General features: G+C 35.8%; 1 pseudogene; it reads left to right on the forward strand.

Moving 5' to 3' along the window:
• On the forward strand, positions 9,450-10,402 carry LOC100422376 (ArfGAP with GTPase domain, ankyrin repeat and PH domain 1 pseudogene; annotated as a pseudogene).

Genomic DNA, 17,958 nt, shown 5'->3' on the forward strand with positions numbered 1-17,958 from the left:
CCAACTCTGCACAATTAATTTTTCTATCACATTAGACAAAATTTTTATTTTTCTTGCTTATTGAGATATAATCTACAGAAAATTTATTCTTTTTAGGAGTATGAGTCTATGATTTTTATAAACTTATTTAGTCATGTGATTACTACCACAATCAAAATAGAGAACATTTGCATCATCCCAAAAGTTTCTCTCATATTTTTTTTTGCAGTCAATATCCACTCCCAACTCCAGCTGCTAACCACCACTGATCTGTGTTTGGTCCTCATAGTTTGACCTTTTCCAAGATGTCCTCTAAATGAAAATACACAATACAGGTTGAGTGCCCCTTACCCAAAATGCTTGGGACCAAAAGAGTACATATGAATCATAACGTGTTTATCCATTTACCAGTTGATGGACATTTTGGTTGCTATGTATGTGTTTTGTATGAACAGATGTTTTCATTTCTCTGGGTAAATATGTAGGATTTGGTTTGCTGGGTCATATGGTAAGTAAAAGTTTAACATCGAAGGAAACTGTCTAACTGTTTTCCAAAGAGGCTGAAAGAGGCTGAACCACATATTATACATTCCCAATGAACAATATCTGAAAGTTGCTCTGCTTGCTCTGAAATCTCACCGGCATTTGATATTGTTAGATTCCTGTAAAACAGTGCTTACTAATATCTCAGTTTCTTTGTTTGAGAAGATTTTATGAGATAAGAACTGCAAAACCCCTATTGACATTTCAGCTGTAGAGTAGGTCATGTATACATTTTCAGCTTCTTCTAAGTTTCTGTTAAAACATATACTCTACCACTAATGATGATAATCCATGAACACCTTCCAATCTGTTAGACACTCATGAAAATGTTTCTGGTTACCAGGAAACATAAGGCTAGTAAAGGTATAGTAGTATGAATATGGTTAGCCAGATGCTGAAAGATGTTGGATGAAAATGGAGAAGGGGCCATTGGAAAAGCTGACCTAGTTTAAAGTGATACTCTACTACTTAATTCTGGGGAAGATAACTATTTTTGAAACTCAATTTTCTAATCAATAAAATGAGGATAAAAATAATACTCACTTTTTAGGCCTTAGTGAGTGATCAAAGGATTTATAGAAGAAAGGGCTTTTTACAATATGAAACATTAATTTGTGTTATTAAGGAGAAGCTGGTTTATAAATGTAATGATATAAAGATTATGTTGTTTTCAACATCTCCATGAGATGTATTAGTCAATTTAGTCATGAAAAAAATACAAGTAAATATAATTATTCATGTGAAAACTCTAACCTAATGTGTCATTTACTTCATTCATTAAAAAAAAAATATACTGTGTATCTGCTATGTGTAAAGCACTGAAGACACAACATTAAATAAAATATATATGACCTCTTACCCTCTTAGAGCTTTCAGCAATTTAGTACACTAATTAAATATGCAAATTACTATGCTAGAATATAATCAGTGCTATTGATGAAAGAAAAGCAGATAGGGAGAATATGGAGTGTTAGGAAGGGTTGGGTGTATTAGGACTTTTAATAGGGTGGTCAGAAATGCCTCTTTCTAAAAGTGATACAACTGGAAATAATTGAGGATATGAACCATATAGGCTGCGGGAGCAAGATCTGTTTTAGAAAGAGGCATAGGCAGGATTGGAGCACACCTGGCATATACAAAAAAATGTGAAGAGGGCAGTTGACCTGCAGAAGAGGAAGCAAGAAAGATAAAAGTTGTAAATTATGTGGTGGGAGTGTGCATGATCACATGAGTCCTGTGTGCTATTATAACAAGGGTTTTCACTTTTACTTTGAACTAGTGGAAAACCACTGGTTTTGAGCAGAAGGTTGACTTTTTTTTTTCCAGTGCATATTATTTTTCTACTGCTGCTATAACAAGTTACCACAAACTTAGTAAATTAAAATAACACAAATTAATTTTCTTATAGCTCTGGAGGCCAGAAGTCTGAAATGTATCCTACTGATTAAAACCAAGAAAATGGCAGGGCTTGTGTGCCTTCTGATGGCTCTAGGGGAGAATCTGTTTCCTTGCCTTTTTAAGCTTCTAGAGACACCTACATTTCTTGGTTTATGTCCTCCTCCTCCACTTTCAAAGCCAGCAGTCCAGCACCTTTAAATTTCTCTCATGCCCTCCTGTCTTCCTTTTATAAGGACGCTTTTGATTGCATTGGGCCCACCCACATTATCCAAGATAATCTCCCAAACTCAAGCTTCTTAACTTAATTACATCTTCAACATCTCTTTAGCCATGTGAAGTAATATATTTAAAGGTTCTGAGGATTAGGATGTAGACAATTTTGAGGGCCAATTATTCTGCCTACCACAGTATGTCAAGAGGTATTAGTGCTTTGGATGTCTTCTAAAGAGCAGCAGGAAACTGAAACTTGGATGGGAAAAATGTGGCAGTGTTTACTAATTGTCTAACACTATGCTGGGAGAAGAGTCTATTGGAACTAGACATGACATGTTCATGTTTGTGTTATAAGAATCATCTTCAATGCAGCAGATGAAGAGAAACAATTTATCTAGATGGCCAAGCTTAGTAGAAATGAAAATTTTAAAAGTCCAAACTCTAAGTGATCCACTTCTATGTTGATTAGGATGCTTTCTGATCAATGCATTGATCTCACGGGTCATTTTATTAAAAATATATGGGTGCCCACAACAAATAACTGATGCTAATGATCTTTCTATTTACCTGCCATTTTAAGTTATTTAGACATTATGGGTTTTAAATTAGTCCCTTTTGAGTTTGGTTAATGATGCTGACTTCTAGAACTCATGTTGGAAACCAAAAAATTAAACCAGATTTTAGAGGTGTATTCTAAGAACCAAGTCCTGGTCCATGTTGATTCAGTGGATATAGGGATGAACTATAAGTCTATAACAGGGAGCAAATCACCTGGCCTTCACATACCTTATATTCACTTAGCTTTAATGTTTCTCATTTAATATAAAAAACAGCAACAGTAATAATAGCTAACATGTATTAGTCCCTTAAGTGCCAACACAATATTAAATGCAGTTCATGTATTATTTTCCTGTGCAATCCTTTGATATAGTTACTCATAATGGCCTCATTTTACACATAAAAACTCTGAGAAATACTCTAAAAAATGTTACTGAGCTTACAATTTCATTTATTAAAATGATAGGAAAGCAAATCCTGTCTTTGATAAGAGAGAAAGTTTCAGACATTAAAATTCCCAGCACACCAATATATTCTCTATGTTTTAATATCAGAGATTAGGTAATATAAATATAATTTATATTAATCCATTTAACTCATGTGTTACACTAACAGTTAATATTGAAGACATATATTTACATACATACATAAAAACAAGCATAAAAACACATACAGGGTATAATAATCAAATTGATAAGTACTTACCACTTGAGACTACATGAATAGTATCCCAATTTTCTTTTACTTTGTATTGAAACCAATTGGATTTAAGTTCAAAATATTTTTTATTTTTCATTTATCCCAAAACGAAAGGAACAGAACAATGCTTGACAGCTATATACTTTTTCATCTTTCAATATTTAAAGAAAAAAAGAGAACAGTGTGTCTTTTTTATTACCACTGAAAAATTCTTCATGTTGGCATTCTGAAAGTGGCCATTAATAGCACATTTGTAGAACTAGCTACAGAAAAGGAACATGTGCTAAAGACTTGATTTCTGTAAAAATGATGCGATAAGTAAAAACGTTCACTCTTTTCTTTCCCTTCCTTCAGTGATTACCAGTTAAGAAAATGAGACTCTTACATTTGGATCCAGTAGGTAAGAAGAATCTATATTAGTCCTTTTCAACATCATAATTTTTAAAGCCATTGTTGCATAATTTACAAAGAATTTATGGATTATAGAAAACAGGAAGACAGACTATAATATCATTTTGGAAATAACAATATTGAAACTACAGTGTCAGAGCTTGATATTTTTCTGGCATTTCAAAGACACAAACATGAGTAAGGAGAGGTAAACTTCCCGTTGCTATAGGCGATGAAACTCATGGTAACATAGCATGAGGGGATTTAACTGGTTATGCATTGATAACACACCAAGCATTAGTCATCCCGAAGGGAAACTTTAATTTCTTACATCAAATTCTTCTCCATGGTGATTCAGCTTGTGACCTCGCATATTGGAGGCATAGTTATGAGTAAAAGGTGAACTTTGTTATATGGTGTGTTCTTCAATCTACCATGACTCATGAACCATATTTTATAATGTCTGCTTTATAAACGTGTTTCAAGTTGTGAAAATAATATGTACCTCATCAAAAAGTAAAGAAGAGCAGCATTCCATGGAAAGGCAGCATTGTAGAACACTGACCTTTTCACATTTATCATGTAGCTCTCTTGCCTCTCTAATGGATATCTTGACATTTTCATTTGAAACGATTGTTGTGTTCCCTGACATTTTTGTCTCCGTCATTGAAATCATAAGGGCTAGCAGCAATTGTTTGCAATTACCTGGCATGTGAATCATTTGCAGTTATAAGAAGCATAAAAATATATTTTAGCACAAAATGCTTTGGGATATATCTCAGATCACAGAGATTTTGCATTTGTTTATGCAAGTGATTCAGTAGCTTACCTGATTTGATAAGATTACAGCTATAAATGTTAATTGTACATAGCATTCTTTTGAGTCTAAATATTTTTCAAATATAAATTGAACTGAATGCTCATATTCTCAAAGTTTTTTGAAGATTTGTTTTTATAAGCTAATTAATTCGTTTATACTTTTCATTTTGAGTTTAAATATAACATGAAAAATATAAATATACTTTTCAATAAGTAAGCATGTATATATTTGCTTATAGTTTATTTTTTATCTAACATCTGAGGTTTATACCAAAATACGTAAAACAAAGAAGAGAATAAATAATAAGAATATTGAAGTTAAAATATATGAGGAATTTAATAAAGGTAAGATTATTACATGAAAAGGTATATATTATGTGATGTTATATGGTTAATAAAGGTCATCTCCAATTTTGATTCTGAGATATGTAGAGGTCAAAGCACAAAAGAAAAATGAAGGGTTATAAGATTCACAGCATCACTAAAATAAAAACAAACAAGTTGTTTAAGCAAAACACAGCTTATCTTCAAAATGAATCCTGTATCAATTTTCCCCCGTGGGTCTTTATAAAGACAATTATTTCTTTAGCATCCCAGTGTTTTTCCATAATACATGCTCTGTACAGCAGTGGTTAACAAAGAATACCTGGAATTATGTTGTTAGGGTTGAATCCTGGTTAACTAGCGAGCTGCTTAACTAACAGGTTTTTTTTTATATATGTAAAATGGGGAAAAGCAATATTAATTTTTTAAAGCTCTTGGGAGGAAAAAATTGGGTGAGTTTTGTGAAGTGCTTAGTTCAGTGCCTGACACATTTTTAGTATTGAATTAATATTAACTTCATGCAGCTTCAACATCCTCTGGGTTAAGTGATAAGGACGCTGATGTATAATTGAGTAAACATGTATTTTATGACTGTCAAATTAATGGGGTCCAAGAATGCCATTCTGGTTTAATCTAAAGGAATAATTTAGAGCATCAAATAGTCTTTCCAGAGCTTAATCCACAGAACACTAATGTCATAAGATGGTTCCATCAGATTGTTGTGTGAAACTCAACCCTTTAAATCCTCTCTTCAGGCTGCAGAGTAAACATGAACCTATTTGGGGCTCTGAACTACCCTTTTTTAAGCAACCTATTTAACTCTGTTCAATACATCTTATTAGTTTTGTTTGTCTGTTTGTTGTTTCATTGCTGAACTGTTTTGTTTGTTTTTATAACATAGTTTTTAGAACCATGTATTAGTATATAGTTATTAGTGTTCAACTGTATGCAGTTTAGGAAACACTGCCCTAGAGCAATAGATGATGGCATGGACCTCAGGCAATCTTCCATAATGCAATTTCTTATAGCTCAGTTTTGGGAAAGCATTACAAGGCAAATATTTCAAGTTCATATTTTTTGAAAAAACCCAGAGTGCAGATATTTTACATTGCTGCCTAACATCTGAAGCATGAGATTTTGTTGGTGACCAATAATGAAAATTAATGGGCTTTAATAAAATACATGCCTGAAGAGGTTCCATCACAGTCCAAATTTATATTGGACAAGAAAGTGTTGCTGGTGGTGAATCTGTATGGGTCTGCAGGAACCTCAATTCTTGCCTCCTCAGAAAAAAAGAATTTGATGGAGGGGCATAAGGTGGCATAAGAAACCAAAGCAAGTTTTAGAGCAAGAGTGAAAGTTTATTTAAAAAATTAGAGCAGAAACGAAGGGAAGTAAAGTACACTTGGAAGAGGGCTAAGTAGGTGCCTTGAGATATCAAGTGTGCAATGTGAGCTTTGACTTGGGGTTTAATATGTTGGCATGCGTCCATGGTCTTGTGTTACTTCATCGTTGATTCTTCCCTTGGGGTGGGTTGTCCACATGTGCAGTGGACTGTCAAAGCTTGGGAGGGCCGCATGTGCAGTACATTTACTGGAGTTCTACACATGCTCACTTAAGACATTCTTCCCTTACCAATCAAGTGTTCCTATAAGAACATATACCGGTTAAACTCTGCCATTTTGCCTCTAGTGTGCATGTGTGAACCCACATGCCCAACTCCTGAAATCTTACTGGGAAGCAGCTGATTACCACCTTCAGGTTTTTTTCTATTAGGAGACTGTCTTCCCCTGGCACCAGCTGTTGAAATGGGAAAAGTTCCCTTGTCCCCCTCACAGGGCATGCACTGGGGGCATGGCTCACTTCTTTAGTGCCCTGCTGCTCAAACCTCTAGGGGAGCATACAGACAGGCAGGCTGTGGGGCTCTAACCCCACGGCAGTGTCTGGGGTGAATGTTTACGTCTCCTGAAACCCCAGTGGACCTGTGTTACAGTGTGCGCTTTTAGTTTTGCTCTCTATAGGCAGCTTGTGTTAATCAGCTCAATTAGACCCTCTACCTTGTCACAAGGACAGAGGGCTTTCTGTAGCTTGGTTTCTTGCCTTGGTGTACCGGAAGAATCGGATCACACCTGGGCTTGGAGAATGAGTGCAAGGTTTTAATGAGTAGCTCCCAGCAGATGGGGGAAGCCAGAAGGGGATGGAGTGGGAAGGTTTTCCCCTGGAGTAAGGCCACTCAGTGGCCCAAGCTCTCCTCTGCCTGCCCCAGCCAAACTCTGTGTTGTTCTGCCTATCGGTAGCCCGCCAACATGCTGTTGCTAGTCCGTGTGCTCCTTTCAACATCTAGCCACCTGTGTGTCTGCCTGCTAGTCTTGGGGATTTTGTAGGCACAAGATAGGGGCATGGCAAGCTAGGGTGGTTTTGGGAAATGCAACATTTGGGTAGGAAAACAAATATGCCTGTCTTTACCTAGGTCCACAGGCACAGGCCCAGGGATGGAGACCTAGCCAGGGACCACGCCCTCCTCTACCCAGCACTTCCCTTCCCCACTCCATTTCATGGAAGGGACCATGCCCTTCCCTTCTCAGCACTTCCCTATCACTTTGACCAATTATTATTTTAGAGCGACAGTTACAAATCTCCTGACCGTCATCTGATGGTTGCTTGACATTGCTAGTGGGGGTGGTGCTCTCCTGCCCTGCTCATGTCTGACTAGTTACCTACTGTAACAAAAGGAACAACTATCTGGGCCAAAATCTTACTTAAGATACCAGTTCTGGGCCTATTTCAACATGGTCATATAATTGAAGACTCATAGAATATAGCATTTTAAGTGTAAGATAAAGCATTTCCAAACAGTTAGCTACCACAGACTTATACCACGTAGCCACATATCCAAAGACGAATTAACTCTCAATTTTACTACTTAAGAAATTGAATAATTTTACCTCTTGCAGAAACACGTGTACCATACATTCCTTATATGAAATATTGTCTGATATCTCCAAAAATCTTATTTCTCAGTAGTCATTCTTAAGCCATCTTTTCAGCAATAATTAAATAGCATAGTTAATAATTTTTAGACTACTCTTAGCATATGCTAAAAAAATCACATTATAAAAGAAAAGTATCTATATTTGATTTCAAAGTTACATATGGTTCATTCAAAAGTAGCAAAAACAAAGCTGGGGACATCACACTACCTGATTTGAAAACAGAAAACAGTTATAGTAATCAAAACATCATGGTGCTAAAATAGAAACAGACATATACTCTGTCGCCCCAGCTGGAGTGCCATGGTGCGAACTTGGCTCGCTGCGGCTTCTGCCTCCTGGGTTCCAGTGGTTCTCCTGCCTCGGCCTCCTGAGTAGCTGGGATTACGGGCATGCGCCACCACACCCAGCTGGTTTTTGTATTTTTAGTAGAGATAGGGTTTCTCTATGTTGGCCGGGCTGGTCTCGAACTCCTAACCTTGGTTGATCCACCCGCCTTGGCCTCCCAGGGTGCGGGGATTACAGGTGTGAGCCCCCGTGCCCAGCTGAGATCTGATGGTTTTACACGTGCTTGGCAGTTTCTCCTTCACATGCTCACACTCTCTGTGCAGCCGCCATGTAAGTGGGACCTGCTTCCCCTTCTGCTATGATTGTAAGTTTCCTGAGGCCTCCCCAGCCACGGGAAACCATGGAGTCAATTAAACCTCTTTCCTTTATAAATTACCCAACCTCAGGTATTTCTTTATATCAGTGTGAAAACAGATTAATACACCTTCTGATAATCATGCTTGAGGAATTGGGGAATTCAGACTACCTGGGATCAAATTGTGGCCCCACCCTTAGCAGTCATGTGGCCTTGGGGAGGTTACTTACCTTCTCCATTTCAACTTCTTCTGTAAAATCTGTAAAATGAGATTGTTTCTGAGGGTTAAATGAGCATAGCACAGTGGGGACACTGTCAGGCACATACTCCTTGCTAGATGGTGAGTATTCATCTTTATTGAATTAGGACAGTGGTACCCCACTTTATGGCTCTCAATTTTTTATGACAAGATCATGTTTAGTGCTTTTTTAGTAAAAGAAAGAAAATCTGAAAGTCTCTACCATGGAAGGAAGAAACAGAAGGGAGAAAAGAGAGTTGGTAAGTTTCATCATTTTAGAGCTTCAGGGAAAAGTTAGGTTTCTATTTTATGGAGAAGGAGGTGGAGGCAGGATGGTCCTAAGGTGTCATTCAAGACATACAGCCATAACTCTTTATTGAGAGTAGAGCTAGGGCCCCAGGGATTGCTGTGGTCAAGTTACAGACAAAAATGACCACTCATTAGAAGACAGGAGAGGAGTGTTTAGTTACAAAAGCAGTCAACAATTCAGGTGTATCTACATTCAGTCAGCAAATAAAAGTTGTTCAACTTGGTTGCTAATGGGAACCACTCTACTGAGGCTTTGTATAGAACTCATAGAGGAAAACGGCTTCAAATAACGAACTACCCTGTGCTTTTCTTGCAGCATATTTGATGAACGGTTATAGTTATTTACGGTTTCCACTGTACATATCAGCCAGACAAGTAATGGAGGTGGGAGTTTAAGTGACTATTCCTCCTCCATTCCATCGACTCCCAGCATCAGCCAGGAGGAACTTCGGATCGATGTTCCTCCCACTTCCAACACACCCACGCCCGTTCGCAAGCAGTCCAAGCGCTGGTCCAACCTGTTTACCTCTCAGAAAGGGAGCAACCCAGACAAAGAGAAGAAGGGCCTGGAGAATCGTGCAGACAGCATCAGGAGGGGCAGAGCCATCCCCATTAAACAGGGCATGCTATTCAAGCTAAGTGGCAAAGGGCTGAAGAAATGGAAAAAGAAATATGTCACCCCATGTGACAACGGCGTGCTGACCTACCATCCAAATTTACATGATTACATGAAGAATATTCATGGTAAAGAGATTGACCTTGGGAGAACCACTGTGAAAGTCCCAGGGAAGAGGCCACTGCTAGCCACATCTGCCTGTGCGCGCATCTCCAGCTCTAAAACCAATGGCCTAACCAAGGACATGAGCAGTTTACACATCTCACCCAATTCAGACACAGGGCTGGATGACTCCCTATGCTCCAGCCCCAGTATCTCCAGCACCACCAGCCCCAAGCTCCACACGCCCCACTCTCCTCAGGCCAACAGAAAGAAGCACCAAAGGAAGAAAAGCACAAACAACTTAAAAGACCATGGCCTGTCCGGCACTGCTGAAGGACAAGAAGAAAACTTTATCATTGTGCCCCTCACTGGCCAAATGTGGCACTTTGAAGCCACGATGTATGAGGAGCGGGATGCCTGGGTTCAAGCCATGGAGAGCCAGATCCTGGCCAGCCTGCAGTCATGCGAGAGCAGCAAGAGCAAGTCCGGGCTGAGGAGCCAAAGCGAGGCCATGGCCCTGCAGTTGATCGGAAACATGCGGGAACTCCAACTGTGTGGACTGCGAGACCCAGAATCCTAACCACATTACCCTTTCCCTATGCTATATAAGCCCTGAGCTGGGGAGGTGGCGGTAATGGCATAGGGATCCACCATCTTGTCTTGGTACCATCCCTGACTTGGCTTCTGTTCATAAACGCCTAATAAATGTTTCATTCTGAGAAAAAAGAAACAGACATATAGATGAATGGAACAGAATAGAGAGCCCAGAAATAAATCCATGAATGTGTGGCCAATAGATTTTAACAATGATCCCAAGACATTCTGTTCATTAAATGATGCTAGAAAGACTGGATATTCACATGGAGAAGAATGAAAATAGACCCTCATCTCATACCATATGCAAAAACCAACTCAAAATGTATTAAAGACTTGAATGTAGAACTTAGAACCGTAAAAGTACTTTAAGAAAATAGAGGGATAAAACTATGTGACATTGGTTTTGAACAATGATATTTTTGTATATGGAACAAAAGCAAAGGCAACAAAAACAAAAGTAAACAAAAGGAAGCACATCAAACTAAAAAGCTTCTGCACAACAAAGGAAATAATCAACAGATTGAAGAGACAACTTATGGAAGAGAAATTGTATTTGCAAACCATACATCTGATATGGAGTTAATATTCAAAATACATAAGAAACTTAAACAACTCAGTGGTAAGAAAACAAATAACCCAATTAAAAAGTGGTCAAAGGACATGAGTAGACATTTCTCAAAAGGAAATATACAAATGGCCAACAGGAATACTAAAAAATGTTCAACACCACTAATCATCAGGGCAATTCAATTTAAAACCGCAATGGGGTATCACTTTACACCTGTTAAAACAGCTGTTATCAAAAAAGATGGAAGATAAGTGTTGGTGAGGAGATAGACAAAAGGGAACCCTTACATACTGTTGGGAATATAAATTAGTACAGCCATTATGAAGACAGTGTGAAGGTTCCTCAAGAAATTAAAAATAGAATTACCATATGACCCAGCAATCCCACTATTGGGTATATATGCAAAGGATATGAAATGGATGAATGCATAAAAAATGTGTTATGTATAAACAATGAAATACAATTAAAAAAAGAAAGGAATTTCTGTCATTTGCAACAACATGGATGAACCTGAAGGATATTATGTTAAGTGAAATAAACTAGACACAGAAAGACAAATAATGCATAATCTCACAAATAATGCATTATCTGGAGTGTAAAAAAGCTCAATTCATAGGATCAGAGAGCAAAATGATGGTTACCAGAGGCTGAGGGGAATGGTGGGGACTGGGGAAACAAAATTTTAGTCAGATGGGAGGAATAAGATTAAGAGATCTATTATGTGTCATGGTGACTACAGTTAATATCAATATATTTTATATTTGAAAATTGCTAAGAAAGTAGATTTTAAATGTTCTTACGGCAAAAATAATAGGCATTTAAGATAGTGCATATGTTAATTAGCTTTAGCCATTCTATAATGTACACATATATCAAAACATCATGTTGTACACTATAAATACGTAAAATTTTTACTTGTCAATAAAAAGAAGAGACAAAACGAAATGCCAGAACAGTAGGCAGTAATCTAAAAACAAAACAAAACAAATTAACAAGACAATAACAACAACAGCAAAAATAGAAAATCATTGTTGCATTAAATTAAATATTATGAGGGGGACAAAATATATCCTTACTATACTACTTGAAATTGTTATTGTTCTGCCAGGAAGCTTTTCCTAACAACTTCCTTTACAAAGGTAGAATTAAATAAGAAATATAGATTTTAAATTTCTTTTAAATGTTGCTTTCAGGTACATCAGAACAAGCTGAATAAAGGAAGATGCCTTATTGATTGACTTCTCTTTATATGCCCATGGTGTGGCAAAATGCTAAGCATGTAGGAGACACTTGATGATTGAATGAAATAATGGATTCATGGGAACTAGCAAAGAACCTCAAAAGCAGGATGATTATTCAGCTAGTATATCTGTCTATAAGGAGACACAAGTGAAATGTCCTCATTCTTACACCATACTTCTAGAATTGGCTTACAAATTATCTCTTCATATTTCCAACCAAAAATTGAAATATGAGTTGTAGAGGCAGTTCAAACCATTTTAATTGAGAATGAAGACAGATCGACCAGAGTCAAATTCTTTTTAGAGGGAAATATAATGAACCAGAAATAGGTCAACAAATATTATTCAATTAAGTGAAAAAGATTTGAAAATTTTCTTATCAATTAAATATGAGTTTTTAAATGGTTTTAGTTTGGGCATGGGGGTAAGTTTAAAATTTTCTAACACTGAGAGCTCTTAGGATGACAATTTCCCAATTAAAAGAATTAAGACATAGTTTTATTTTCATAAATCAAAAATGTTTACTCACATAAAAATGTGCCCCTAACAGTGTATGGCCATGAAGAAGAACTCACAAAATATGTGTTATCTCTGTTCTCCTTAAGTTGATATATTACAATTTTATAATTATCACAAGTAATGCTTTAACAGTTGTAGAGCTTAAAGAAGATTTTCCTCATTAGCTATTTTAGTTTCACATTCCTTTTTTTATTAATATGGGAAGTATAAAGGTAATTTTTGACATATTTAAGAAATGCTGTTGCACACAATTTCTAAATGAAAAGAGAAGCAGCTTAAAGGCTCACATCATCCTTATTCGCATGCATGAAGAAGATATCAGTATAATATGCCCTCTAAATTTCAGGGTACCCATGGAATTTACCCTGGCCACATATACATTTTTCATGCATCAAGCTACATATCATTTTCCATGCAAAAACTAAGACTCAGATTATAGGTGAATAACTCTGAAATTTCTCCCTTATTTTCTGACCTTCCTGACTTCTTTTGATAGGCTGTGGATGGTTAGCTACCTAAAGGTTTAATGCAAACTTAGTTCCCAAACACCTGTTTTAAAAGACTGATCATATGGTTTAGCACTTCAATATGTAATGTGGCGAACTTGTTATGTACTGTCTTAAAACTCCATTGATGAACCCATTTTGTCAGTACTGAGGAAAACGGCATGAACCATGAAGGAAAGAATTGATAAGTTAGGCACTATTAAACTTAAAAAATATATGATTTGAGATATTGTCAAGGGAATAAAAAGACAAATCGAAGACTAAGAATATTTATAAAAGACACATTTGATAAAAGACAGTTATCTAAAATACACAAAGAACACTTACAACTCAATGATAAGAAAACAAACAACCCAAATACAAAACGGGCCAAAAACTTTAATACACACGTCACCAAAAATAGTTAATAATAATAATAATATTAGTGGCAAATATGTCATATGTCATACGTCATTAGGGAATGGAAAAGTAAAATAATGATGTGATCCTACTATACTCACAGAGAGTGCCTAAAATCCAAAACAGTGATAACACCAAAAGGTAGCAACATTTGGGACCATAGGAACTCTCATTCATTGCTGGTGGGAATGCAACATGGTATAGGCACTTTGGAAGCCAGTTGGCAATTTCTTTCAAAATTAAACATACCGTTATACAATCCAGCAATTGTGCTTATTGATATTTATACAGAGGAAATGAAAATTTAAGTCTATTTAAAAAACAACACATGTATGTTGTATAGCAGCTGTATTCATAATTGCCAAAACTTGGAAGCTGTCACGACGTCCTGCAGTAGGTAAATGTGTAAATAAACTGTGGTATATCCAGACAATGGAATATTACTGACTACTAAAATAAAATGTGTTACCAAGCCACAAAAAGACATGGAGAAAAAAATGTATATTAATCCGTGAAGGATGCCAGTTTGAAAGGCTTCGTACTATATGTTCCCAACTATGTGGCTTTCTGAAGAAGTCAAAACTATGGAAAGAGTATAAAAAATCAGTGGTTACCATCAGTTAGGAGGAAAGATGGATAAATAGGCAAAACATAGATAATTTTTAGGGCAGTATAACTATTCTAGATCATACTATAATGATGGATACCTGGCATTACACATTTGTCCAAATTCATCAAATGTACAACAACAGGAGTGAGTCTTAATATAAACTATGGGCTTTGGACAATAGTGATGTGTCAGTGTAGCTTCATTGATTACAGTAAATTTACCACTCTGGTGGGGAATGTTATAATGGGGGAGATTATGCATGTATGAGGGCAGGAGATACATACCCTTTTTATCTTTTTATCTTTTCTTAAAATTTTTTGTGTATCTAAAACTGCTCTTAAAAAGAGGCCTATTAAAAAAATAAAGTTCACAGGTAAAGGTAAATATATGAGCAATTATAAAAACAGTACTATTGTAATTTTGCATTATAGTTCTATTTTTTAGTTCCCATGAGTTAAAGTATCTATCTATCTATCTATCTATCTATCTATCTATCTATCTATCTACCTATCTATCTACATTCAATGTATAAAGATGTAATGTGTGACGACAACATAAAAGGGGCAATGAAACTACATAAGAGCAGAGTTTTTGTTTACTATTATCATTGGTAACAATTCAAATGAGATTGTTATAAATTTGGGATGTTAAATGTAATCCCCATGGTAAGAGCAATAAAAATATCCAAAATATGTAACCAAAGCAAGTTAGAAGAAAACCCAAATATTTCACCACAAAATATGAAGTAAACACAAAGGAAGTCAACAATGAAAGATATGAGAAATAAAAAATATAAATCCCAGAAAAAAATAATGAAATGACAAAAGCAAGTCCTGCCTTATTAGTAATTACTCTAAATGCAAAGATTGGAAGAATGGATCTAAAAAACATATGATGCAACTGTATGTGGTTTACAAAGATTTAATTTAGATCCAAAGACACAAACAGGTTGAAAGCGAAATGATGGAAAGAAGCTAAAACCATGAAAATGAGAAGAAAATATCAATGTAAATTTTTATGACATCAGATTTGGCAATGGATTCTTAGTTATAACACCAGGAGCACCAGAAGCAAAGCAAAAAAATAGATAAATTAAATCTCAACACAATTAAAACTTTGTACATCAAAGGACAAGTTTTTCTGGCTGGGCACAGTGGCTCACACCTGTAATCCCAGCACTTCGGGAGGCCAAGGCGGGCGGATCACGAGGTCAGGAGATGGAGACCATCCTGGCTAACAGGGTGAAACCCCGTCTCTACTAAAAGTACGAAAAATTAGCCAGGCGTGGTGGCACGTGCCTGTAGTCCCAACTACTCAGGAGGCTGAGGCAGGAGAATGGCGTGAACCCAGGAGGCGGAGCTTGCAGTGAGCAGAGATCTTGCTGCTGCACTCCAGCCTGGGCGACAGAGCAAGACTACGTCTCAAAAAAAAAAAAAAAAAAAAAAAGAAAGAAAATATATATGCAACTTGACATTGTGGTTTGGACTTCATAAATAGCGTGCTTTCACACAACATAGATGCTCTAATTTACAAAAAAAAATTTCCAAGTATTTTGAAAATGAACAAATGACAAATAGTTTCAAATAGGTGGGGAATTTTTAGAAAGTGCTTACTTTTCTCTTCAATGGTCTGATTTGAGTGCCAATGGTGAAACAGCAAAACAAACCTGACACATAAACCCAAGACTTGTGGATGAAAATAAGAAAAGATGAGCACCTAACAGAGAATGCTTAGGAAACTAAACACATTTTATGTTTTTAGAAATATTCTGGATTGAGCTCAGATAAATATTGCCAGCCTAGCTTGTCATAATTGTCAGCTGGTTTGGGGCAAGCCTGATCCATCAAACCTCAGGGGACAGATAGGATCTTTGTAACAGAGGCACATTCAGAAATAGAATTAGGTGAAAGTCGGGAGTTTCTCAACCTAATTGGTCCAAATCTGAAATGAAAACAGCTGACACATTTTGCTTGGGAATTTTGCAAATCACTATCAAACTTAAATAAAACAATGTAGCAAAATAGCACACTGGCCAAAGATGGCTTTGCATTTTAGCCTTTCTGTAAGAAATGGATTGTTGTTCTTTGTCAAGTTGCAATTCCACATCATCAGTTACCTTTATCCCTTTTCTTCATGACTTTCATTCTTCCAAAAGCTATGTCATGTTCATACTTTTGAGAGAATACATATTTCCTCTTTAAAAAAAAATCTCATGTGATGATTCTATTTTTCACTTTTCATAATCAACTAAGGAACAATGAATGTAGAAAGGAAGACTTATTCGCAGAAAATTGGCTGAGGAAGCCAAAAAAGAATTTGCTGAATTGCGTATTTTTTTTCTACACTAAACAGTCAGGAGACAAATGAAATAGAAGAAGGAAGTAAAGCTTTGCTATATTTGTTTTCAGATAGATTAATATATTTGTCAAAAGTTAGATTACAATAAGAGAGCTCTCAAAATATGACCAGCTTGATAGTCAGGCTGGAAAGTCAAAATTGAGCTGGATCTATTACAAAATACAGATATCACAAAGAAGTATTTGCTAAAATGTCAAACTTTAAATACACAGAACAATTGAAGTCCTTGCTTAATTTTATCCAATTAGTTGTAATGTATAAATGGTACAAATTAAAAACATTAGATGTAATGTTAAATTGAGGAATGACTTGAAAATCACTAAGATGCAGTATGACATTGAATTTTATGACTGTTGTATACAAAGATAATTTCAATATCATTTATTTGTGGGTTTTGAAAATGGATGTGAATATTTGAAACTTCTATGTTATCTACACATAGACACAGATGTGTCTTTAGTTTGCTTTTAAAAGTCTACACCCAAAATAATACAAGAAATGGCTTTGCTCTCCATAATTTATGTTAAGGTCAGTAAGATGCAAATGAGTGTGAGAGAAGTTTATTTGATTAAATTATGGAGTAAGTTTTCTTTCAAGGAAGATTTATTTAGAAAAGTTATTTGATTTTAAAAGATTTTAATACATTTACTCATATTTTAAAAAGGGGCCACAAATTATTCTCCGGTACATCTTCAATAATTCTTTTTAATCACTTCAGCTCTTCATTTCTAAAATCAAACGAGTACATGTAAAAATATATTTTAGATATATTGATATTTTAAAATGTTTTAAGACTACGAGAATGGAGGCAGTATGTAATGATCCTTTAGACTTGCCTACCCATTATTCTAAATTAATATTCCACGGTGGTGTACATAGGATAGAAACTTAGGGGTTTCTATGTTGGTCTTTTTTCAAATGTTATTTAACTTGTATATTAAGTCAGAGTTTATAACTTTTTAAGTCTTTTCCTGTTCTAATACTTACTGATGCAATGGATACAACTTAAAAAATATGTAATGGGACATATAATATTTATCTTTGTCTTAAATTCAGAAGTCATACAGTCTGAAACATTATTCCTGAAAACAAAGTTTCAATTTGAGAGTAAAGTTTTTAAAAAGAAGAACAGTTTCTGTTTTATTTTGTTCTGCTTTCTTATTTTACACTTCAGAAATTCTTAATTTAAGTTTTGAGTTGAATCTAAAATGCAAGGTCTGTAGAACCTGAGCTTGTCTTCAGGAACCATCTGAATGCAGTTTGAGAAAAATCCATCAAAATGGAAATCATATCTGATAATAAACAAATGATCTGTTACATACTTCAAATAAATGTAAAT

This window comes from Homo sapiens, chromosome 9 (genome assembly GCF_000001405.40).
Source record: "Homo sapiens chromosome 9, GRCh38.p14 Primary Assembly".
Classification (NCBI taxonomy): domain Eukaryota; kingdom Metazoa; phylum Chordata; class Mammalia; order Primates; family Hominidae; genus Homo; species Homo sapiens.